Genomic DNA, 24330 nt, shown 5'->3' with positions numbered 1-24330 from the left:
GCATGGGGAAGCCATTTGGGCTGAGAGCACCCCTCACCCTAACCATGAAGTCCTCTGGGCTCTTCCATGTGGCTGAAATTAAGGGATGTGAAGTAAGTGAGGCTTGGTGAAGCCCAAGAGCTAAGCAGTGGCCAGATCTTGAGCGATCTTGTGTTTTCACCTCAGAGTTGAGAACTTCATCTGGAAAGCTAGGAGCCTCAATGATGGCTTTCAAAAGGGAAGGGACAAGATGAGTTTTGCTTTGTAGGGAGAGACAGCCTACAAGAGTGTGGAAGTGCTGGTGGACATTCCCAGAGAGGAAGTGTTAAAGGAAAGGACAGTTTTTAATGAGGTGGGATCCACAGAAACTGGTGACTTTCTGAGTGTGAGTAGGAGAGACATAGGAAGCAATGTTAAAAATGATTTTGCTTCAGTTTTCCTGGGTCACTGCAGGGAACCCATACTGATGTATTTGAACCACAGAATCATTGCCCCTAATTTTATTGTGTGTATTTTCAAATAATTGGTTTACTTAAAGCAAGATGCATTTGCATACGTACCCTTTACCCACTGTGTATTATCACATACCTATTATAAATATTTGTCTATATAAGATAGAAATATGTCACATATATAATTCATCATATAATAAATATATAATAGTCAAGAGATACATATAGATACACATAGATGTAGAGATAGTTAAATCTATTTAATATGGAGACAAATCTATAATGTTTGTAGTTTTTAATTACAAGTTTCTCAGGCCGGCCATAGTGGATTTGATAGGCATCACTCTAGTATGAATGTCTTTTCTTTCGAGAATACTTGGAAGAAATGCTGATTCCTAATAAGTAGCTCATACCAAATACTAAAGTCCATGCTACTGATTTCACTTTTTCTCCCTGAGCTTTTTCTCATTATGTGCGTAAAAGAAAATTAGACATTGAGTGATCTCTGTGGACCCATCTGCTCATACATACAGAGATGTCACAAACATAGTTTTAAAAACATGTGGTTCCTGGACACAGGAAGGGGAGCAACACACACTGGGTCCTGTCCGGTGGTGGGGTTGGGGGAGGGAGAGCATCAGGATAAATAGCTAATACATGCTGGGCTTAATACCTAGGTGATGGGTTGATAGGTACAGCAAACCACCATGTCACATGTTTACCTATGTAACAAACCTGCACATCCTGCACATGTACCCTGGAACTTAAAATTAATTAAAAAAAGAAACAGAAAAAAAATGTGGTTCCTTTGCTGTTTGAAATAGTGAAATGCTCCACCATGAAATGTGAACATTGTCATCCCCTATGTCATATATCTGGTGATTTCTTTTCAGTGGGTCCAGATCTGGGGTCGGCAAACTTTTTCTGTAAAGAATCAGATAGAAAACATTTTAGGTGTTGCGGATCATACTGTCTGTGTTGCAACTACTCAACTTTGCTGTTGTATCGGAAAAGCAGCCACAGACAATAGGTAAATGAGTGGGTGTGGTTGTTTTCCAATAAAATTTGATTACAAAAATAGGCCTTAGGCTGTCCTTTGCTGACCCTGCTTTAAGTCAACAGTTGCCACCTCAAGGTCAAGGCATGCCTCAGTCAATGTGTTAGAAGTAATTTATTACCTATAATAATTAAGTTACAAACTTTAGAATATTTGTAAGAAAACTAAATGAGAGAGAATTAGAGATGAGCCTAGAACCACCTCATACAGTTATTTTGATGAATTTTCTTGAGTAGGAGAGCAAGGTGCAGAAAAGTAGCATAGGATAGTGGTTAAGACCACAAACTCAGGACTAAGGTCCCTGAGTTTGAATTTCAGCCATGCCACTTGCAATATGTGTCCTGGGACAAGTTACTTGACTGCCCTGTGCTTTGATTTCTTCATCTATAAAATGGGCATATTAATAAACCTCACATTTTAAGATTGTTTAATGATTAAAACCATGAGTACACCATAAGGGACTGGAATAATAATGGGTACACACTATATGTACAAGAGATGATAGTCATTCCCCACATATCTAAATCTTTTGGATTTAGATCCAGGACATAGCTCTCAGCTTATTTTATCTGTGCTGTGAGTCACTGATGAATAATCCTTACTGTGCACCACTAATTAGTAGTTGTGGTGACTACAAATTTTTATGTTGCTAATGGGTTGTAATTTTGTAGTTTCTGAGGTTAAAAAAAAAATCTACCCATAGATGGATACTTAACAAGAAAGAAGCAGCAAAACTCTGTGTAGAAAATGTGAACGTGCACAAATCAGTAATGCCCATGAGTGAAAATGACATGGGAACATGTTGTTAGGGTACAACAGTTAAAATTACCAAAAGGTCAACAAAGCGATTATGTACTTGAACATTGGACATCATGTTCTTTATGTTCATATCACTGAATTCTGGAATTCTGAGTCTACTGGTTTTTTTTTTTTACAAATGAAATAAAATGTAGCTATGTTTACAGCATACCCTTCCTTGTCCATCCTATTAATATTAACTGGTGGCATGGAAGTCAAGAAAAATGACTCATTAAAATAAAAATTTTTAATAATTTTTAAAAATCAGATTACCATATAATTGATTTTTTTGTAACTGTTTTCAAAATGGTCTTCATATTGCCACGTTAATTTATCAAATACTTGGAACATGCTTTTAGGGATTTCATGACTTTCTCCTTCAAAAGTTGGCCCCGCTATTTGCTTTATTTACCAAAAAAAAAGGGTGAGGTTTGGGGAGGGGTGTAGGGAAAAAGCAATCAAAACCTGGGTCTATCAGCGCATGTGACACGTTCATTTATCATAAGTGTTACATGCATAGCTCTCTCCTCCCTACAGGACTATTTTATCTCCACTTTACAGAGCAGGTAATTGAGGCTTAAAAGCGTTGGATACTCACATGGCTAGTTATATGCTGAACTTGAATTCAAACACAGGCAGCCAGAAGGAGAGTCCTCCCTGTAACCACTGTGCTATAACACTGCATCCCATTTGAATGAAACAGTGGCAAAATGAACAGATAAGATGAAAGCTGCTTAACTGTGCTACTGTTCAAAATATTCCCCATCACATCTATGGCAGAGCTCATGGAAAGTGACATCTGGATCAAGCCTGTGCACGTGAAAAACAATTTTAAATTATGGATGTATGTGCTTGGAGACTTAATCTCTTAATTGGTAGCATTGTTAAGTTTTCTTTCTGCTGTCAATGGAAGAGAAAGGAAAAAAAGAATCTGAGCTTTGAGATGAGGGCACGTTATGCTCTCGGTGTGGGAGAAATCTGGCAGAATCAGTCAATGAAGGAATATATGGAGAGTGCAGTCATCACATGAGTATGTGGAAGGGTGCAAGAAATGAGGAGTGGAGGCAGGAGGGAGGGAAGCAAAGGTACATGACAAATTCTTAGTGGAATTTGGAGAAAAGTTATGGATCCTGGAAAAAGTTCAAGGAATTTGTCTTCCCTGATAGTTTCATTAAGCTCTGGCCATTACAATGGTTCTCAACCTGGACTGCACCTTAGAATTTTGGGGAAAGCTTTATAAATATATCATTGTCTGAGCCCCAACCCCAGACAGTCTAATTGACTTGGTCTATACCTGTGCTGTCCAATACAGTAGCCACTATCCACCTGTGGTAATTTAAATTTGAATCAATTAACATTAAATACAATTACCAATTCAATATTCAGTTTCTCTGGCCATATCTCAAGTGCTCATTAGCCACGGGTGGCTAGTAGCCACCTTAGCAATTAGTACTGTTAACAAAAATGTCCATTGTTATAGAAAAGTCTATTGGACCATGCTGTTCTTGGGGAGAGGGACATGGTCATAAAAATTTTTGAAAACTACAGCAAGTAATTATAATGTGCAATGAACTTAGAGAACTGTTGGTCCTTGGAGAATACATTTGTTCTAAAATGTATCACCACTTGTATCTGAGGTCATTTTGCTTTGGAAGATGATTCTGAAAATATCATTAATGCTAGACTTTTTCTGCAGCCTAGAAATGTAGCCGCATATATTTTTATTTAAAGCAGCTTGCTTGCTCATTTACTCTACAAGATTTAGATGAGTTAACTACCAGACTGCAACTAAAAATGAATAACTTGCTTTTCCCCACTTAGAATGAAGTGGTACAACAATTCATGTAGATTTTGAATTACTTATTAAAAGAGTTTAATAGGATAAATTATCTTACAGTAAAACCGAGAGGCTCATTGTCCACAGCTCACATTTTAGGCAACAGATTAGAAGCAACGTCTATATATTTGATGATATCCAAAATTAATTTATTAACTTAATATGTTTATGAAGTCGCATGTAATTTTGAGGAAATTGTTTTCCTTTCTCATTAGAGAAGAACCCCACTGAGAAGAGACTTTTGCAAAGTGCCAAAGTGCAATTGATGAAACACAATGTCACCAAATATAGCATTGAAATGAGAAAGTGGAAAGGAATTCACTTTGGCATTTTTTATTTTGCCTAGTTTGTTTGGCCTAAGAGTTTTCAAGCTCCTAAATACGATATTCTTCTATCCTTAAGGCTTGTTTTATATCCTGCTGATTTGTAAATATCTGACTTGGGATTGGGTTCTTCAGTTTGAGGTGACAGTACTTCAGCATCCCTGTATCTTTTAGGTAATCTTGCTCTGAAATCCATTCCATGTTTAATGAGCAGTGAATATACCCATAACAGAATAAATGACCTGCCCTACAAAGAGTTCACATGACATCTTACCTAGAATGAGTGCCCTCTTATCTGAGTTTCCTTCTTATTTCAAGAAACCTGAAGCATCCAACCTTATAACTCAGCGTTCCTCACTACATGAGTAGAAGGAGCAGCTACAAAATAAGTACCATTCTCTGCAGTGTGGTAGAACCAGCGATATACAGATTTCTCCATAAGAATCAAGATAAAATGCTTTTCTCTAGGTCAACCCTCCTGGGCACCTAAAATGAGATGCAAATTTCACACTCTGTACTCAAAGGTATTTCTCCAGCTATAATCTTGGGCTTAATTTTCTGGGGATCCATATTTATTGGAAAAAGAGAGGGACTCTCATAAAGAAAGAATTCCTAGAGTCAGCTTGTTTTATTGCTGCCTAGACTCGCTTCTTATCAGTTCATTCCACAGGTAGAGCCTCCGTTTACCGGTTACATTGTAGACTCAGTTTGCTTCCTCTCTTTATCCCCTTCCTATCAGTTCTGCACCACTCGGCCTCATTCATCTTTCCTAAAACATCTCTTTCATGGTGTTACACCCCTACCTAAAACTGAGAGTGGCTAGTTCTACTTGTAAAGGATCTGGCATCCAGGAGGTTTTCTAACATGGCTGTTCCTTTTTTCTTTAAATGAAATACCTGTCCCTCTCCTTATTCCTGGAGGTCATTGCCCCATCTATTGGCTTTCTTTTCTCTGTTTCATCCTGGTGCCCTGCCTCTGTTTCTGCATATTTCTGTGTCTCAATTCCACAGGGCTTTGAGCCCTGAGCTGTCATCTATGTATTTACCAAAATTCTCCCAGTTGCAGAGAGGCCTTCCAGTCTCTGTTGGATGCTCTGTGTCATACTTACTTTGTTTATAGGTCTTCCAAGGAAGTGAATAAAGAAAAGGTTGCTGGCATGCTGTGATATTGCCTAGGGGTTAAAATTATTGCATTTGAAAACAGACTGCCTGGGTTTGAGTGCCAACTCTTTACTTGCCAGTTGTGTGACTTCTGGCAAGCTCTTTACGCTTTACGCTCTCTTTGTTTCAACTTTCTTATCTGCAAAATAGAGATAATTCTAGTGCCTGCCTCCTAGAGGATAGCGTATTCATGGAGACAATAAGTACTCAGTAAATTTTAGTTGTTCTTTATTGTGGTTTTGACTGTTTCAGATTCATGGTCTTAAATAGCTTTCCAGTTACTAGATTTGCTTTGATGGTAGAGTTTAGATCTGAAGGATCCAAAACATTCTCTCCGTGCAAATAGGTCACAGTAGCATCAGAAGGACGCTAGCAATTAGACCAAGGTCAGGGTGCTAGGAATGGGGAAAGGACGGACAGCTACAGTTAAGGAAGCAAATGGCAGCAATGAGAGAATATACATTGGCTTATCACCTAGCCCCTGGAAGTTCTGAGCAATACAAAGATAGAGTCTGATGGTTAAACTGATGGTACCACATTTTCACTGAGCACTGTAAGGCAGCAGATGAACTAAAATGTCTCTCACAATTTGCATTTTTATATATAGTCTTAAAAAATATTAAGACCTTACATGCGAACTCTATGCTACACTCAAAAAAGGTTACCAGGACCAATGGAAGGTTTATCAGTAATGAATATAATCTAAATGAAATTTCACTGTGCCATTTTATGAGTCAGTCATGATTTTGAAAGATAAAAGCATTACCTATTTCTAACCATTGGCTATATATTATTCAAAATCTGAAGGATGTCATTAGAAATATATTTGTCTTCTTTTATATTAAAGACTTTCTACATGCTCAGCAAAACAATATATAAAGAGCAATTTTTACTTTACCATCCAGTTGATCAACTACTCTGTTTCCAAGTGAGAATGTAGGAAGGGACGAAATGAGTCATGATGTCGTTCAGTGGGGAGAAGTATAGGAGGAGTTTCAAGCGCAAGGGCTCCAGATCAGGCTGCTTAGATTTATTATCTGTGTTCATATGGGAAGTTCAGGAAAGTGAGGTCAGCTGCTATATCAGATACATCCCCAAATTTCACAACATAAGTCTATTTGTCATTCATACTGTTAGATTGGCCACAATTGGTGGGACAGCTGTGCTCCAAGCAATGATTCTGAACCTGGGCTGCTTCTTCCTTTCATTCAGCTGGAGGTAGGGTGGGCTGGATTTAGGTTGAGACATTGGGGCAACTAAACCTTTCACGCTGGCTATATTGCCTCTCCACGTGGTCTCTTCAACATAGTGGCTACACCTATGTCATGGGGGCTCAAGGGTCCTATGAATGCAAAAGCAGAAGTTTCCATGCCTTCTTATGTCTCAGGTCCAGAATGGGCTTGGCATCCCCTTCTGCCACATTCAGTTGGTTAAAGTAACTCATAGAGCCAGGCGGGCTTGAAGGGCAGGGGACTACACTAGGCAAAGAACACTGAAAAATGTGGTCCACTCCTGGGACTACCACACATGGCTATGCAGGTTGCCTGGATGCTGTCTCCAGGTTTTTATGGACTGGGGCTAGAAATGAAGCTTGTCACTTCCTCTGACATTCCATTAGCTAGACTCCAGTCATATGACCACTATTAACTGCAAGAGAGGCTGGGAAATGTAGACTAGCTGAATGCCCACGAAAAAGGGGCTACGGGCTTCATGAGCAGTCAGTGTTTTCCTCACTGTGCGCCATCCATTTCTGTGCCTCCATCACTTCCTCTATAAAATGAAATTGTTGGAGGCAGTGAATACATGGCACACATGAAGTGCTTAGCACCTAATACATGCTCAGTAAACTTCTACTGTTATCATTCACTATTATGTAGTGGCTATTTGATTTTATTCCATCTAAGTAAAAGCACACCGCACTGGATACCAGGCTAAGGAATTTGGACTTTGTCCTGGAGCTAAGGAGGAGACATCAAAGGGTTTTAGGCAAAAGAGTACTGTAATCAGAAATGTATTCACTCAAAAAGTTTGACAGTGATTCTATGATATTTTTGCCTTAAATGTGCAAAATATCACCAGTGATATAAACAGAAATAATCCAGAATAAGAGCCAAGAAGAAGGTGGAATGAATGCTTAATGGCATAGATTCTTAGGCTATAAATTGTTTCTTGGTATGCTTAGATATGGAGGGTTAAATGGGAAAAAAATGACCATTGTGCTCTCAGCACTTTTTGTGATTAGCGAAACTCTTCCACAGATGGAACCTTTTAGTTGCTTCCTGATATTTATTTCCAAGGCTCTTTCAGTGACTCTTTGGTCTCTTATTGGTTTTACTTAAAGAGTTGTTATTTAAATCTTAAAAAGGATTCCTTATCTTTATGTTTTGTTTTTCTGGTTTGAATGCATTTTCCAAAGAATACCAAATATACACACCTTCTCCATTATTTCTGCACTTCCTCTTAAGGCCTGCCTTGCTTCCACTCTTAAAACAGACTAGGAATTTCACAAGATGTTGTCTCTCGGGATTATTTGAGATTATTCACTTAGTCACCTTCTTACGAAACATTTATTGACCTGACAGTGTATGTCTCCATCAAATAATTGATTTAACAGACCACTCTAGTGTTAGGTAAACATTCTTATTTCATCACTGTCTCTTCCTTATTAGATACTTATAACATGGCTCCTACTAGTACTGACTCTGAACTGTGGTTTTGTCTTCCAGTTAATTTGTAAGCTCATAGTGGTTGGGATGACAGCCGCATTACTTATGAGCTGTGAATCTTTGAGCAAGTCACTTAACTCCTCTGCGCTTCTGTTTCCTCATCTGTAATATGAGGATAATAATGTAACCTACTGCTAAGAATTATTTTGATGGTTAGATAAGTCAGTGCCCATAAAATGCCTAAAACAATGCCTGACACTTAGTAAGTGCTCAGTCAGAACTACATGTTGCTGTCATCTATTTATAAACTAAAGGATCATTTGCCTAATAATAAAAAATGAATTACATATTTATCAATTTCATGTGAAATAATATATTAAGATATTAGATATATTGATATTAAGATATTAGATATCTTTAAATGAGGATGTAACTTCCATTGATGAGTATCCAGTATGAGCCATGTTGACTGTCTACTGGAATAATGCGTATTTTCAACATCAGTTTTTAGGATAGTGGTGGTGGAGGTATGTGCAGTAACAGGTAGATTTTACTCTGAATCTCTGTTTAAGTTTAATCATTCTAGTAAAGAAAACCACCTGGAATATTTTACTGCTTTAAAATTCCTTCCTTAGCAGCAGCAGCAGCAGAGGCTATGTGTGGCTTACATGATTAGTTTCACAGAATCCTAGTAAAAGCATACCGAGTCCTTAATTTTGAATCAGTAAGATCTTCCATGAAATCATTTCCCGGTTTGTAAATTATAATCACAGTGATTCTTTTGTTGGAATTCACTTGAGACCCATGAGAGAACTATAACTTCCTATTGACTGGGAAACAAAGATGTCTTTTCGAGTTGTATTTGGTTCAGTGCCATGTGGAATGCATGGAGATCAAGGTAATTCGCGATTGGAATTAATCTTCCCTTTTCTCTCTGCTCTTCATGGATGCCACCCCCAACCCCCACCCCAACCTGAACCCTCTTAGATATGGCCATGTGGGTATATTCACTCTGACCTCCACACCCTCTGTTCAGGAAATGAACAACTTCTCAAGGACTGCTGTCCCACAAAGAGGATAAAATACAGAGCATGTGTTATGCTTCAGTGTGAAAGAGAATGAAAACTTTTGCTTTTTAGTGTGTGTGGCTAGTGTTAGAAAAATGGAGTCAGTAGTTTTAAAATATAATTTAAGAACTGAGAATTTGTCCTAAACAAAGAAGGCATCCTATGTGCTTTATCTTGCTCTCAGGGGTTTCACCAGTGGCTTCCAACATTCTTTGGTTGATTCCTAATAAGGACAGTTTGCACAGTTACAATCCAATTACCGTTTGTAGATCCCTGTGGAAAAGAGGATTTTTTTTAGAGGAATCCTTTTCTAACTCGAGTATATTTCTTCAAAATACTCTCATTCTTTTTGTCCCTTCCCTCCCCTCTTTCCTCCTCCCCAACTCTCTCTCTCTCTCACCCTCTCTCTCTCTCTCTCTCTCTCACACACACACACACACACACACACACACACACACACACAGGCACACACGCATACAAACACACGCACTCACTCATTTGTGCACTTACTCAGGGACACAGCCTGCCTCTGTTCTGAAAGGACAGGAACTTCTCAATGATCCGATGAAAAGATTGCATATTTTTGGTCCCAAGATTCACAGTAGCGGAGGTCTCTGGCAACAAAAGGTATCGTGGGAGTCACAGCTATGCCAGCTGGGCCATTTCTCAGACATTCAATATGATCTGCCATTTCAGGATGCATTTTTTACCAAAAAAATAATTTTTTTAAAACAGACTCAACTTCCTACTGCAAGCTTAGTTCAGTTAGATTAGAGAGGACAGCAAAGACGCGGCTGATTATAATTTATGGGTAAGCAATATAAATATCTATACTTACACTACTTTTTCAGAAAATAATTGTGATAAAGTTTTGTGATTCTTTCACATCCATCTTGTGATTTAGGAAGAAAACTGGAATGATCAGTGTCTGAGATGTGTGACAGCTAAAAACTGTCTGTGTCAATATGGATTTATGAGAACCTTATTTTTAGATTAATGATGTGGCAGCTTGAAATGAGCAAACTCAAGCAGGAAAGGATTGTGTCATGATTAACAGAACAGCATAATTGAGCTAATTTCTGTAAAAGATTCGGGCACAGGCTGTTTTGAAGTCTGAAAGGGTAAAGTGGTTTATCTTTCCCTCTTAACTTCTTGAATATGGGTGCAACATTTTAGTTGCTGTGGCTGTGATAAATATGGGTTTAGGGGAACAGTTTGGATATTAAATAAGGCTAATAATACATCGGATGTGCTTGTGCTGTCTTTTACAAAAGAGGAAACTTTAAGCCTCTGAATTTTTAAACACTGTCTGGCTTTCATTATTATAAGGGTATGTCTCATAATGAAAGGGCTTGGTGGTGGAAAGAGGGGAACATGACCCTGATGTCCCAGATCCCATTATGCCACTGCAGCTGCTTTGCTCATTTGTAAAGTTAGAGGTTTGGATTGGTTTATCATGAAATGTTATGAAATACATATAGTGGTTATGAGTCTAAATTCTAGAACCTAAAGCCTGGCTTCAAATCCTAACTCTGCCACTTAATTGGTGTGTGCTCTTGGCAAGTTACTTAAGTTCTGTGCCTCAGTTTCTTCATCTGAAATATGGGAATAATGATGGTAACATAGTCCTTAGGTTGTTGTAAGAATTAAATGAGATAATATAAATAAAAGGCTTAGAACAGTAACTAGCAGAGAGCGGACCATCTATAAATGTGAGCAGTATCTTCAAGGTCTAATCTATCTCCGGAGGTCGTTCTAATTTCAGTGAACTAAATTTAATTAGAGAAAGACAAGTAGAACCATCAGCTGCTGGCCCTGTCATTAAGAAATTTCTAATTCATGCCAGTGTTTCCAGTTTTTGCAACCCTGAGATTTGTGCAGGCCATCTTACCTTCTTCCTCCCATCCAAGACTCGAGAGAAGCTTAGAACTGAGAATTAAATTGATGGCCATTAGAAAAGTCCACAATTCAACTGGGACTACACAGAAATGAAATTGACCTTTTGCTCTGACGTTTTTGCCCTTGAGGACTTCCAGTATGTCCCCTCTATGCTAACCACTGGAAAGGTTCTTTCCACTGGAAACAAGATGTAAGTGACATTTGATTTTTTAGATGGTGTTAGCCCAGCCCTGGGTTTGACAATGTTCATTTCTACTTCTTTAGTTTATCGGTAACCCAGGTGAACAGGCCATTTGCAGATAACCACTTCTATTTCATGCTAGCATTTGCATATTTTCTAATATGCTAAATTATGTTGTTTGATTTTTTTTTTTACAGGCTCTCTGGGATGTTTCTCAGAGACAAAATCTTAGGAGAGGAGGAAAATGGTGATGGCAAAAGGCAGATCCTAATCATAGATGTGTCTTTACTTTTAGTCCAGTCCAGGGGTCAGCAAACTTTTTCCATAAAGGGCCAGATGGTTACCTTTACGGAAGGGCAGCTTCATGGACTGTGCAGTCTCTGTTGCAACAACTCAACTCTGCAATTGTGGCCTGTAGGCTGCCACAGAAAATAACAATGAATGAGTGTGGCTGTGGTTTTCATAAATCAATAAAACTTGATTTATGAAAACAATCAGTAGGCAGTACTTGGCTCCCCGGCTAGTCAGCTTGTATCAGCAAAATCCCTGTCATCATCCCCATTTCATAGATGAGGAAAATGGGGCATGGGGAATGTAAGTAGCTTGCTAAAAAGCCACATGGCTGGCTAGTAAGTGGCAAAACTGGGACTCAAACTCAGGCAGCCCAGCTTGCCACCCCTTGCTTTTAGCCACCAGGCTATGCTATACCTATGTCAACCAGTCTCTGCCTGGGCTGCTGGGCTCCCAAAACCTGCCTGGCTCATTCCCTCACCTCCTTAAGGGTTGGTGCAAAAATCATGTTCTCTGTAAGGCTGTCCTGGTAGCTCATGCAGCACTCCTATTCCCCTCACCCTGTGCTACCTCCTTCTCTATCTCTTATCACCTTGTAAAACTTGCTGTGTAATTCAGCACACATTTCTTAAGAGTTTTTGGTGTCTCTAATACTTCCAAGTTAAGATGCTGTGTTAGGTCCTTCTTGTATCACCATAAAAATACCTGAGACTGCGTAATTTATAAAGAAAGGAAAAGAGGTTTAATTGGTTCACAGTTCTGCAGGCTATACAGGAAGCATGGTGGTGTCATCTGCTCAGCTTCTAGTAATGCCCTTGGGTAACTTGTACTCAGGATGGAAGGCAACAGGGAACCAGCCTGTCACATGGTAAGAGCAGAAGCAAGAGAGAGAGGGAAGAAGTGCCATGCCCTTTTAAAAAACCATATCTCACATGAACTCAGAGCAAGAATTCACTATTGCAAGGACAGCACCAAGATATTCATGAGGGATCCACCCTCATGACACAAACACCTCCCACCAGGCCCCACCTCCAACATTAGTGATTGTATTTCAACATGAGATTTGGAGGGGACAAACATCCAAACCACATCAGATGGTGATGCAAATTTAGAGTGGTGATGATTAATATTAATTATAACTTAAATTTCCATTTATTCAGGTCTTGTGGGAGCTTATAAGCCTTCCACAAGAAATTCATTTGTATTGTCTGATATTATCCCTACAAACTGAGAGTTAAGTCTTGTTCTTTTCTCCATCTTAATAATGAGAAAACCGATGATCAGAGATTTTCTGAATCTTACCAAAGAACTGCCATCTATCTGAATCCAAGTCTTCACCACCATGCCAGTGAGACTCAACTTTTATTATGCAAAAAGTAAGACTCATCTGGGGATGCTGCTTTATAATGGAGGTGCTTGGGACCTATTCCCTGTGACTCTAATTCTCTAAATCTACCTTAGAGCCAAAGGAACCTACGTGTTTAACAATGATCATTCTGCCCACGTGATTCCGATGCCTTGGGTCCACAAACCACATTTTGAACAGCCCTGCCTCACCCCTTGTTTGGCCCTGGGGAGTTTACAGTTGGATGAGATTAAAGAGATGCTGCAGTTAGAGACTAGCCCCAAGGATGTAATAAAACAATGTGGTGTAGAACAAAACCAAAATTATTTCAATCAATTTTATTTCATGGGAAAATCAAGTCTGTAAAGGTGCAACTTAGCTCAAAAGAATGACTTTCTGAATAAAGCATAGATATTAGATTGTTTGGGTTTTAGTTTGTCTTTTGCTTCTTTTTTTCTAAACATAGAGACATATACTTCTGGTGGGAAGGAAATCTCTTTAGTTAACACTTTTGGTGAGTTGTTCTCCAGTTAATCAAGACTCTATTGTTTTCAAACTTTTTTTGGTTTGCTTCTTTTAATTAGGTTTGTAGTGTTTGTACTTATTAATACTAGCTTAAAATAAGCCCTATGATTCTGTTTATGTGTATAATACGTAGAAAAATACATGTAAAATACACATAGTAATGCATGATATATAAACGAATATATAGTACATATTTTTATGATAAACAAAATATATAAATAATTGTTAATATTTCCAGCACCATCATTTTAAGGAGATTATATGTAATCTGGGCTTAACAGCAGACTTATTTATGCTAAACCAAGGTTTCTCAACTTCTGCACTGTAGACAAGTTGATCCAGATAGTTGTTGATTTTGGGCAGTAGTCCTGTGCATTATAAGGTGCTTAGCAGCATCCCTAGCCTCTATCTTCTAGCTGCCAGTATCAAACGCTGCCCCAGTTATAACAACCAAAAATGTCTTCAGACATTGCTAAATGCTCACTGGGGGCAACATTACCCCACCAAGGACCATTATCCTATATCATTTTATCATATTGCTGCCCTTTATTAATGCTGTCACATAGTACCCTAGAATAGAAAGATGTTTTTACAACTGCCAAGGTCTTTAGTCTATCCAGAGACATTGGATGAATTTCAATTTCATCTACATTTATAAAATCTAAACAAATTTGAAATCATCCATTTTCAATCCTTAAAAAAATTCCATGATGATCACTCAAAAGACTAGATTCAGAAAGCCTTCAAATGAGTCATTCATTTATAAGATAAACAGTCACCAAAGAAAAATGCTGGTCTGGACCATGCATGTGAGCCTTGAGAAACCACCAGAAACATATTCTAGACTGTGCTGGTAGGCTTTGGTGCCCTTCCTGGGTGCTTGTTTATCACTTTATGGTCCATGCCATGAGAGTCAAAGGGAGACTATGACCTTTGTGTTCATGTCTTACTGCTCCTATGAAGTCTGATGGGTGGGTATAGGTATCACGGATTAACTCTTCCCCGCGTCACCTATTATCACATTTATTTTCTCCCCTCATGTACTGGCATGGGTTTTTCTTGGCTTATCAACAGGCTATTTCAAAAGACTGTCTCTTAATGGTTTATTCGAATCCAGAATACAGTTTCCCACATATATACAACATTGTATGGGTTGGTTAGGTTTCCAATTTATTTAACTCATGATGGGGCTGGTTCATTAGTCCCTAGATTGACAAATATTTATTCAGTGGCTGTTAAGTGCCAGGTACTGCCTTAGATACCGAGAACATCAAAATGAATAAGCCAGACAAGGGTCTTGCCCTCCTGAATCTAGCTGTTGTATATGGCTGATAATGCAAGGCCCTAGGACTGGGTTGCTGGAATATGGCTGTAGATGCTACACAAATATGTGTAGGGCACTACATGACCCTAATCTCCATATCAGGGGTTGGCAAACAACAGCCAGTGGGCCAAAAGCAGCCTGATGCCCGTTTTTGTATGACTTGCAAGCTAAGAATTATGTTTACATTTCTAAATAGTTGAAAAAAATTTGAAGGAAGGATATTTTGTACACATAAAATTATATGAGCCTTGACTTTTCATGTCATAGATAAAATTTTTGGAATATTTGTTTATGTAGGGTCTATGGCTGTTTTTGCCCTACAATGGCAAAAGTTGAGTAACTGTGGCAGAGACCATAAGACCCACAGAGCGTAAAGTATTTACTATATGTAATTTTCTATAATTCTATTTTATGGGAAAAGTGATTTCAGAATTCCAGTCTTGGGACCTCTCCAGCACAAATCATTGGTGATGGTACCTGTAGTATGAAGCAGCACCTTAGCATCAGGTAGCAGGGAGATAAGAATCTGATGGAAGGTCAAAACCTACTTTTTTAAGTGTCTGCGAGCATGCCCTTCACCCCACCAACTTCCTTTTCTAATGCTCCCCCTTACTCTTGAATTCATTTCCTATTGCTGCCATAACAAATTATCACAAACTTACAACACAAACTTACATAAGTCTCATGTGGGCCTCACTGGGCTAAAATCAAAGGCCATGTTCCTTCTGGAGGCTCCAGGAGAGAATCCTTGGCTTTTCCTGCACTAGAAGCTGTGTGCATTTCTTGTCTTGTGGCTCCTTTTTCCATCTGTAAAGCTAGCAGCCAAGCTCTTTCAAATCTTTCTCTCTCCCACCTCTGCTTCCATTATCACATTTTTGTCTCGCTTCTGCCTCTACCTCTCTCCTTGTGATGACATTGCACTCGCCTGGATAATTCAGAATAATCTCCCCATCTCAATAATCTGAAATTAATAGCATCTGCAAAGTCCCTTTTACCATGTAAAATAACATACTCACAGGTTCCTGGGATTCGGGTATGGACATCTTTAGGGGAGACATTATTCTACCAACCACACCTTCCACCTGATTACGCCTTACTGTACTTCTCTCTACCTCCACAGAACAAAATGTGGGCAGAGGGGCAACTCACAAGCTTGCAACAACCAGCCAGAATATTGTAGTGGCTAAGAGTGGCTTCTGAGAGTGTCAGGTTCAAGTTAATTTTTTTGTTGAGTGAAAAAATAAGGATTATGTCATCACTTCATTTGTTTAATAAAAGAAAGCAGGGTCATGCTTACTCTCAGTTTCAGAAAGTAACGTCCTTACTATTATGACTGTCATAGAAATAGCTTTCTTTCCCTTGGTAGATTTGTATCTTTCTTTGACAATGGAGGACTTCTTGGATTTTCTAGACTTACTACATAGCACTTATTATAGCCTAACTGAACAATGTGGATGCACACTCAAACTAGAATCTATTCAAGCCTTGAGCTCAGTGGTTCTCAACCCTGGCTGCATGGGAGAATCATTAGGGAACTTCAGGAAAAAAAATGGACAAAGAAAATGTGGTACATATACACAATGGAGTATTATTCAGCCATAAAAAAGAATGAGATCCTGTCATTTGCAACAACATGGATGAAACTGGAGATTGTCATGCTAAGTGAAGTAAGCCAGGCACAGAAAGACAAACATCGCATGTTCTTACCTATTTGTGGGTTCTAAAAATCAAAGCAATTGAACTCATGGATAGAGAGTAGAAGGACGGTTACCACAGGCTTGGAAGGGCAGTGTGGGGGATCAGGGGAGGTGGGGATAGTTAATGGCTACAAAAAATAATTAGAATTAATGAATAAGACCTACCATTTGATAGCACAACAGGGTGACTATAGTCAACAATAACTTAACTGTACATTTTTAAAATAACTTAAAGAGTGGAATTGGATGGTTTGTAATTCAAAGGATAAATGCTTGAGGGGACAGATACCCCATTCTCCATGATGATTATTATGCATTGCCTGCCTGTATCAAAACATCTCATGTACCCCATAAATATATAAACCTACTATGAACCCACAGAAATTTAAAAAGTAAAAATAAGGAAACAAAAAATACAGATATTGTCTTGGTCACTGGGTCTGCCATAACAAAATAACCTCAGATCTCTCTTTTGGTTAACAATTCCAAATATAACAAAGAAGTTTAAAAATCCAAGAAGTTAAGAACCGTGGGCTGCAATATATAATGGACTAAAGTAAACTTGAAGCATCGCACTTTACTTTTTATTATGCTAACTGTAGTCATTTGTAAACAGTTTGAAAAAACATATATTATTTGATTGTGTTGGAACTGTTTTAATTGAGAGTACAAAATCAAAGCTCAAGAAAAATATAAATTGGCCAGGTTCTGTTTTGCCAGACTTAGTAATGTTTTAATTCTGTTTTTTCAAAAGAAAATACCATTTTCACCATGTCCAAAACTGGGTGATCTTCCTTCTCCCCCTGCAAACATAATTCCCTCTGCCATTCCCCATCTTGGTGATTAGTGTTACTGTCTGCCCAGTTGCTGAAGCTAGAAACTCAAGAGTCATCCTAGATTACCCCTTCTCTTCCCCTCACTGCATCCAGTTTATTCTCTAGCATCTATGTGGTTCTAAGTTTCTCCCGTGTCTGTTCAAATTGGAATCAGCATCCCACTTAGCACGGAGTCTTTTCTCATCTCCACATCTTTGACTTGCTCTCCCCTTTAATTCCTTAGGAAACTTGTTTCCAGTCATCTTCCCTATATTTCAAATCTGCTCATGTTCCTCTCTAGCTCAAAGTTCCTGAATGACTAGCCATCGTCTATGGAGGAAAATCTAATCTGGTTTGCATTGCCAACAGAGACAGCCCTACAGAATCTGGCCCTGACTTCTGCTTGGCTTCACCTCTTGCCCTTTTCCTCCTTCCAGCCTTGTAATTCCCTGAACAAGCCTGTTTTCTCAAACTCATTTGCCTTTGCACCTGCTGCTAAAGTTGCATTGCTACTGGGCGAACCCTGCCCCCTCTTACTCAACTTTCAAGCCTCCATTGAAACACTACCTTCTCTATAAAGCTTTCCTTGATCCTCCAGATAGATAACAAAGCCTTGTCTCCTAGGCATTCATTGCATTTAGTACTTACTTCTAGTACCACAATCTCTGTGTTTTATGGATTGTTTGTGTTCTTCCTACCTGAAGGTTAACTCTGAGGACGAGGACTGTGTTGTCATCTTAATAGTCCCAAGCCTACCACAGAGCTTAGCATCTCATCTGTGCTTATTAAATATTGTTTGAATTAATTAACCAGGAGGACTTAGTAAATAAGAACAAAATGTCCCTTCTAGGAATTACTTTATTTCAGTCATAAGCTATAGTTCACAGGTTGGGAAACTCTAGCCCGCCAGCCAAAACCAGCCTGCTGTTTTTGTAAATAAAGTTTTATTGGCATATGGCCACACTCGCTGATTTATAAATTATCTGTGGCTGCTTTCATCCCACCAAGCCAGAGTTGAGTAGTTGTAACAGAGATCACATGGCTCACAAAGCCTGATATATTTTCTATGTGGTCTTTACAGAAAAAGATTGTCAAACCCCTACTACAGATAATTAAGCCCATTGGAGGTCACATCTTTGATTGCTTTTAAAGAATAGGTATGTAATTCTGTTTTGACACTTCAAATAACAGTCAGCTCCCGTAGGTACCTAAGCTTGATATCTAAAATTTATAAACTCATCTGGGGACTTTCTATCTGGGAGAAAATAATAATAAAAAAAATTCCCCAATAGTGTTCCTTGTAGTTCTCTAAGCTTAGAGGGTGTGAGTGAGGGGTACACCCAAGGCCTGAGTCCCCAACCATAATGTCTATATGTCCTATTTTTTCTTAGTCTGGTTATACCAAAAACATAAAAGAAAGAAAAAATTCAAAATACACTGGCCCCAGAAGAATTTTCTTCTGTTCACTGAATGTGACTGCAGCCTCCTCACTTTGACTAGATTTGCTCACTCACTCCTCTCCCCACATCCCCTCCTGCATCACCCTCCCTGAGCTCCTCCTGGGTTCCTGCTAGTCTTCATCATTATCCACTGGATATAATTCATACATGTCAAGGCAAAGAAACTAAAAGCCATAACTTCTTTAACACTTGCTCAAATTTTGCCTTCTCAGTGAGGTCTTTCCTGGCTGCTGTCTCTAAAACTGCAAATTCCTTTCTTCTACTTCCCCTTCTTTGCCTTTTTCTCCTTCCTAGCAGTTATCATTATTTCACACACCATTCCTTTTACTTACCCCGTTCATTTTCTGCCCCTACCAGAGTATAATATATTCATGTATTAAATGAGTGAATGAAATCCCAGATAAAGAGGGAAAATATCAAAGAATTAACATCATGCCATTCACTTTTGGAATGAATACACTAGACAGGAATTTGTCACCAGTGTGAAACAAAGTGCTATGGCACTTTGTTGCTGGGACCAGTCTTTCTGTCTCCCTTCTTTAAGGTGAGTGACTTCTTTTTTATGTTTTTAAGACAGAGTTTTGCTCTTGTTGCCCAGGCTGGAATGCAGTGGTGTGATCTTGGCTCACTGCAACCTCCCCCTCCCAGGTTCAAGCGATTCTCCTGCCTCGGCCTCCCAAGTAGCTGGGACTACAGGCATGCGCCACCATGCCTGGCTAATTTTGTATTTTTAGTAGAGACGGGCTTTTGCCATGTTGGCCAGGCTGGTCTTGAACTCCTGACCTCAGGTGATCCACCCACCTCAGCCTCCCAAAGTGCTGGGATTACAGGTGTGAGCCACCACGTCCAGGCGAGTGACTTCTTTAAGATGGTGAAGTCTTATGGGATTCTGTTAAGTGTTCCATTTATTGCAATGAGTCCCTGCGTGGGCCAGTACCTCTCCTTCCCTGATAGAACTTTTCTTTCTTGATCATTGAGCAACAGTAGCTGCCTCCTCAAATCTGTTGCAGCATGCCTGATACATGAGATTCACAAGAAGTCTTTAGTAAGGAGACACTGGGTTTCAGAGGATTGTAAAGTACTTTTTCTTTGGACGTCACTTTCTTACTGTCTGCATTGAGGGTGGAGCCATTTACCCTCAGTGGCCTGCAAGGGTGTGCATGTGTACACATGAGTACACTTTTAGGATTGTGGAAATCTTTGCTTTGACTCTTTGATGTGGAGTATTTTAGCATCAAATGTCTCTATAAATACTGAACATCTTCCTGTTGATCATAACTCTAAGCTTATTGTGTTCACAATAACTCATGAGAGTGCTACAAATAGAACCTCAGTGGTTACAATATTAGCATAGAGTTTAAAGCCCTACATTCTTAGCTTGAGTCCTTATTCCAAATCTTATAAGTTTTATGATTTGGGGAGAATTACTTAACCTCCTCAAGACTCAGTTTCATCATCTATATTATATTGGTATATGTTACTATACTATTCATATAATATGTCATAAGTATAAACTTTACTATTATAATATATTCTCATATATTATACTAGATTATATTATTAAATTTTACATGAGATAGGTAAAAAATGTTAACCACTTCATAAGGTTGTTGGAGGGATTAACTAAAAAGCCCTTGACTATGGTTAACAGTAATATATGATCTCAAATAGCTAGAAGGAGGATATTGAATGTTAGCAACCAAAGAAATAATAAGTGTTTGAGATTAGTTACTAATTATTAGAAATATATATCTAATAACCATATGTATAGAAATATCACCATGTGCCCCATGAATATGTACGATTTTTATTTGCCAATTTTAAAAAATGCCCTTGGTGCAGCCGCTGGCACATGGTAGGCTCTCCATACACACTCATCCCCCTATATCTGATGTGTGTGATGGCAATTAGCAGCAGCACAGTGTTTCACAAAAGTTAGAAGTTCCCATGTGTTCCCATAAAAAGGAGGAAGTAGGACCCTCACAGTATCTTTCTACATAGTTTCCTCAGGCCTATATGCATAATGAGATAAGATCATGTGACCCAGCAGATACTTGAGATTTTGACATTTGCAACTAACTGAGAAAATCCACAGTGAACTAAAAGAGGATTTGACTTTGGGAATTGAGACCCAATTTTGGAACACAAAGGTGGTTTGCTTGACTTTATTACTAAGAGAGGATGAGATTTGTGAGAGGTAAGTGAACTCTGTAACTCTTGATTTTTTTTTTTTTTTTTTTTTTGGCCTACAGGGTGATTTCACCTGGAACAGCATGTCAGGCCGCAGTGTACGGCTGAGGTCAGTCCCCATCCAGAGTCTCTCAGAGCTGGAGAGGGCCCGGCTGCAGGAAGTGGCTTTTTATCAGTTGCAACAGGACTGTGACCTGAGCTGTCAGATCACCATTCCCAAAGGTAAGGCCTCTTCTGCCTTTCTGCCGGGGAACACTGCAAGTCAAATATTGGCTCTGCCAAAGCCGTGAGCTGTGAACTCTTCTCACACCTAATATTCACACAGGAAGGAAACTACAGCTTCTTGGTTGTTGGCTGGCATTAGTGTCCATTTGAAGGACATGTTCAAGAGGGACAATTTGCATGTCAGGTAATACATTTATTTAAAGGGAAGGTCAACTTGGAGCATTACAAAGGAAAGCTGTGTGTATATCAACAGTCTATATGGATTCTGAACAACCAATTAAAAATAATTTTCAGGAAGGTCATCTTAAAGGGTCAGAAGAAAAGCTGTGTCTATCTCAGTTTGGTTTCAAAATAACCCATTTGAAAAGAATGCCTTAACACTCTGTTAAACTTGTCGTTTGACCCTATGCCAACTCAGAATCAGGGATTTTACCGAACCTAACTCCTTTTTAGCCAGTTTTTCAGCTGGTGTGTTGTATGTTGCACTGGAGCCAGTGCACACCTGATTGGCTGATGTTTGTTTTTTAAACAGATCCTGATTCCAGTAAAGATGAGACACATGTACTTGAATTCCTTGAATCCATAAAACTTTGTCTCTGTATGTTTACTGTTGTCTATAAAGGCACTTTTTTTTTTTTTTTGAGATGGAGTCTCGCTCTGTTGCCAGGCTGGAGTGCAGTGGCACAACCTCAGCTCACTGCAACCTCCACCTCCTGGGTTCAAGTGATTCTCCTACCTCAGCCTCCCAAGTAGCTGGGATTATAGGTGCACACCACCACGCCCAGCTAATTTTTGTGTTTATAGTAGAGACAAGGTTTCACCATGTTGGCCAGGATAGCCTCAATCCCTTGACCTTGTGATCTGCCTGCCTCAGCCTCCCAAAGTGCTGTGCTGGGATTACAGGCGTGAGCCACTGCACCTGGCCTATAAAGGCACTTTTTAATTTGTATTAGTATGTAGCAGACAGCTACTTTGAGGCAGAATGAAAAACTATGATGTTATACACATAAAGTAAATCTGCCATGAAAAGCAACATTGGGCAGGGTGCCTGAAACTTAAAGGAAAGCAGAAGAGGGATAGGAAGCTTCTAGAAACTAGAACATTTCCACGGAGGATTTTGGTATCTGCAAAACTTCTCTTCTACTTTGTTTTCTTTTGGAGGAGGTCGAGGGGATGCTTCATGAATATTTATTCATAAATAGTTCATATATATATACACAACATATGTGCATATATATGTATACACATATACACACAAATAGGTGGTTCTCAAGCAGGGTTGATTTTGCTCCCCATGCCCTGGGGACATCTGGCAATGTCTGGATATACTTTTGGTTTTTGCAGCTTAGGGGATGGATGCTCCTAGCATCTAGTGGGTAAAGGCTGAGGATGCTGACCAACACCCTATAATAAATAGGACAGCCCCCTGCAACAAAAATTATCAGGCCCCATGTGCTGAAGTTGACCTACCTTGCTGTACACACATACATTCACATTCTGTCACCCACAGTGCCAGTGGTGCAGTTCTCTTGGCTCAGCTGTGGCTAACAGAAAGAATGCTGGCTTGGAGGTCTAAAGACTAGGACTTGTGAACTCATCCTGTCACTCCTCACACCTGTGAGCTTGGGCGACTTGCCTCTGCGGTAGGAGGCTCAGTTCTTTGACCAGAAAGAGTAGCACAAAAACACTGACCAGAGTTTTTCTTTGGATAGTGAGTCTTAGGGCCACGTTTTTTCTTGAAGCAGAACCTGAGACTCCATTGGAGGTTATGACAGAGTTCAGAAGAGAGAGATAGACAAGGCCAATGGGCTGACAAGACATGCATATTTCACTGGCATATGCCTTGCACCTTTGGCTTTCTTGTCACGGTTTGTTCACTACCACAACCACAGCATGTTGTTTCCAAGAGGAAATCCCCACCCTGTTTTATTTTTTCATGCTAATCTCACACATAGAGACCCTCAGCTCAAATAAGAAGAAAATCACTTAGGCAATTGTGAAAAATGAATACTAGTGACTGTCAGGCCGTGTCGCTCTTATCCTTGAGAAACGCCCTCCTGCCTTACCTGGTATTGGTTTGGTTGTAGGGTGGAGATGAGGCCTGTTCTCCCTCCAACATAACTCACAAAGTGGCCCATGTGGGGCCCGGGCCAAGAGTTTTGTCTCCCTTTAATAAGCACAGACATTCTTTTCATTCCTAAGGAAAAAAAAATGGCAATATTGTTAGCAAACTTAATTTGTAGTGAAGAGAATGATGACTTTGAAAAGTTTTTGAAACTTGGTTTGAATGCACATCAGATAAGATATCAGGGAACAGATACTCTCTGTGGCTTTGTTTTTAAATCCAGTTGATTTTTTTCTTTGTTCCTGCTTGTTAAAGAGTCCACTAAACAAATAACCTTTACCAAAAACAATTTTATAAAACTTGTCTACTAGAGGCTCTGTCTCCATTAATTATTTCTGAGGCTGTGTGGTTATCCGCACATCCAGAGAAAGATTTGTGCTATCGAAATGTTTGAAGATATTCCCAGGCCACAGCAGTTATTTTCATATTTTCTGTCAAAATAGGAACTAATGATTTACAAATAATTTTCTCATTTATAGAGGAGAGAGGGAATTGTGTGGCTGGTGAAAGAAACAGGCATCGCATGAGGGTTTCTGAAGCTACTGAATTGGGCATATGAATATAGACATCAAATATTTACTGAGATCCTTGGAATGTGTGGCTGGTGGCAAGCTCTATGACAGTAGCTTTGGTCTAAATGTGGCCACTTGATCCCCATGCAAACCTTCAAATGGAGGTTCTCAACAGGGTCAGATTCACTGTGTGAATAATTTTCACAGGAAAATAAATACTGTAGCCAGGACCTAAAGCCTAAAGAAATGATGCCAAACCTAATAGGATATAATGAAAATCATGATACAATGAAAATGGACACATAGTCAAGCTCACATTTCTGTTCTCTGTCACATTAGGATGATCATAGGGATTTATTTGTGGTTATCTATTTGTAGAACCCTCTCCTGTGAGTCTGGTGC

The 24330-nt window shown here is 39.3% G+C and overlaps 1 protein-coding gene across 5 annotated transcripts in view, besides 1 other annotated feature; it reads left to right on the top strand.

Moving 5' to 3' along the window:
• The window catches only part of ARHGAP6 (Rho GTPase activating protein 6), a 528377-nt gene that overhangs the window by 390085 nt on the left and 113962 nt on the right, over window positions 1–24330 (top strand). For 4 of the 5 annotated variants that reach the window (NR_109776.2, NM_013427.3, NM_001287242.2 and 1 more), the window contains one exon: window positions 21129–21288. Coding sequence is in view for 4 of the 5 variants with exons in the window: in NM_013427.3 (NP_038286.2) it covers window positions 21129–21288 (160 nt within the window). In the remaining variant the exon portion in view is untranslated. Of the gene's footprint in view, window positions 1–9843; window positions 10151–21128; window positions 21289–24330 lie in introns of those variants that run through there. The other variant, NM_013423.3, reaches the window with a different exon arrangement.
• Window positions 19693–19987: a silencer, noted in NCBI's record as "tiled region #12683; HepG2 Repressive non-DNase unmatched - State 24:Quies, and K562 Repressive DNase matched - State 6:EnhF". NCBI's record gives its function as "represses a minimal TATA promoter and a strong SV40 promoter by Sharpr-MPRA in HepG2 and K562 cells {active_cell/tissue: HepG2 | K562}" and the evidence as "EXISTENCE:reporter gene assay evidence [ECO:0000049][PMID:27701403]".

Source organism: Homo sapiens, chromosome X (genome assembly GCF_000001405.40).
Source record: "Homo sapiens chromosome X, GRCh38.p14 Primary Assembly".
In the NCBI taxonomy this organism is placed as follows: Eukaryota; Metazoa; Chordata; class Mammalia; order Primates; family Hominidae; genus Homo; species Homo sapiens.
The sequence above is the reverse complement of the archived record's forward strand: the minus strand, read 5'-3'. Positions and strand labels throughout refer to the sequence as shown.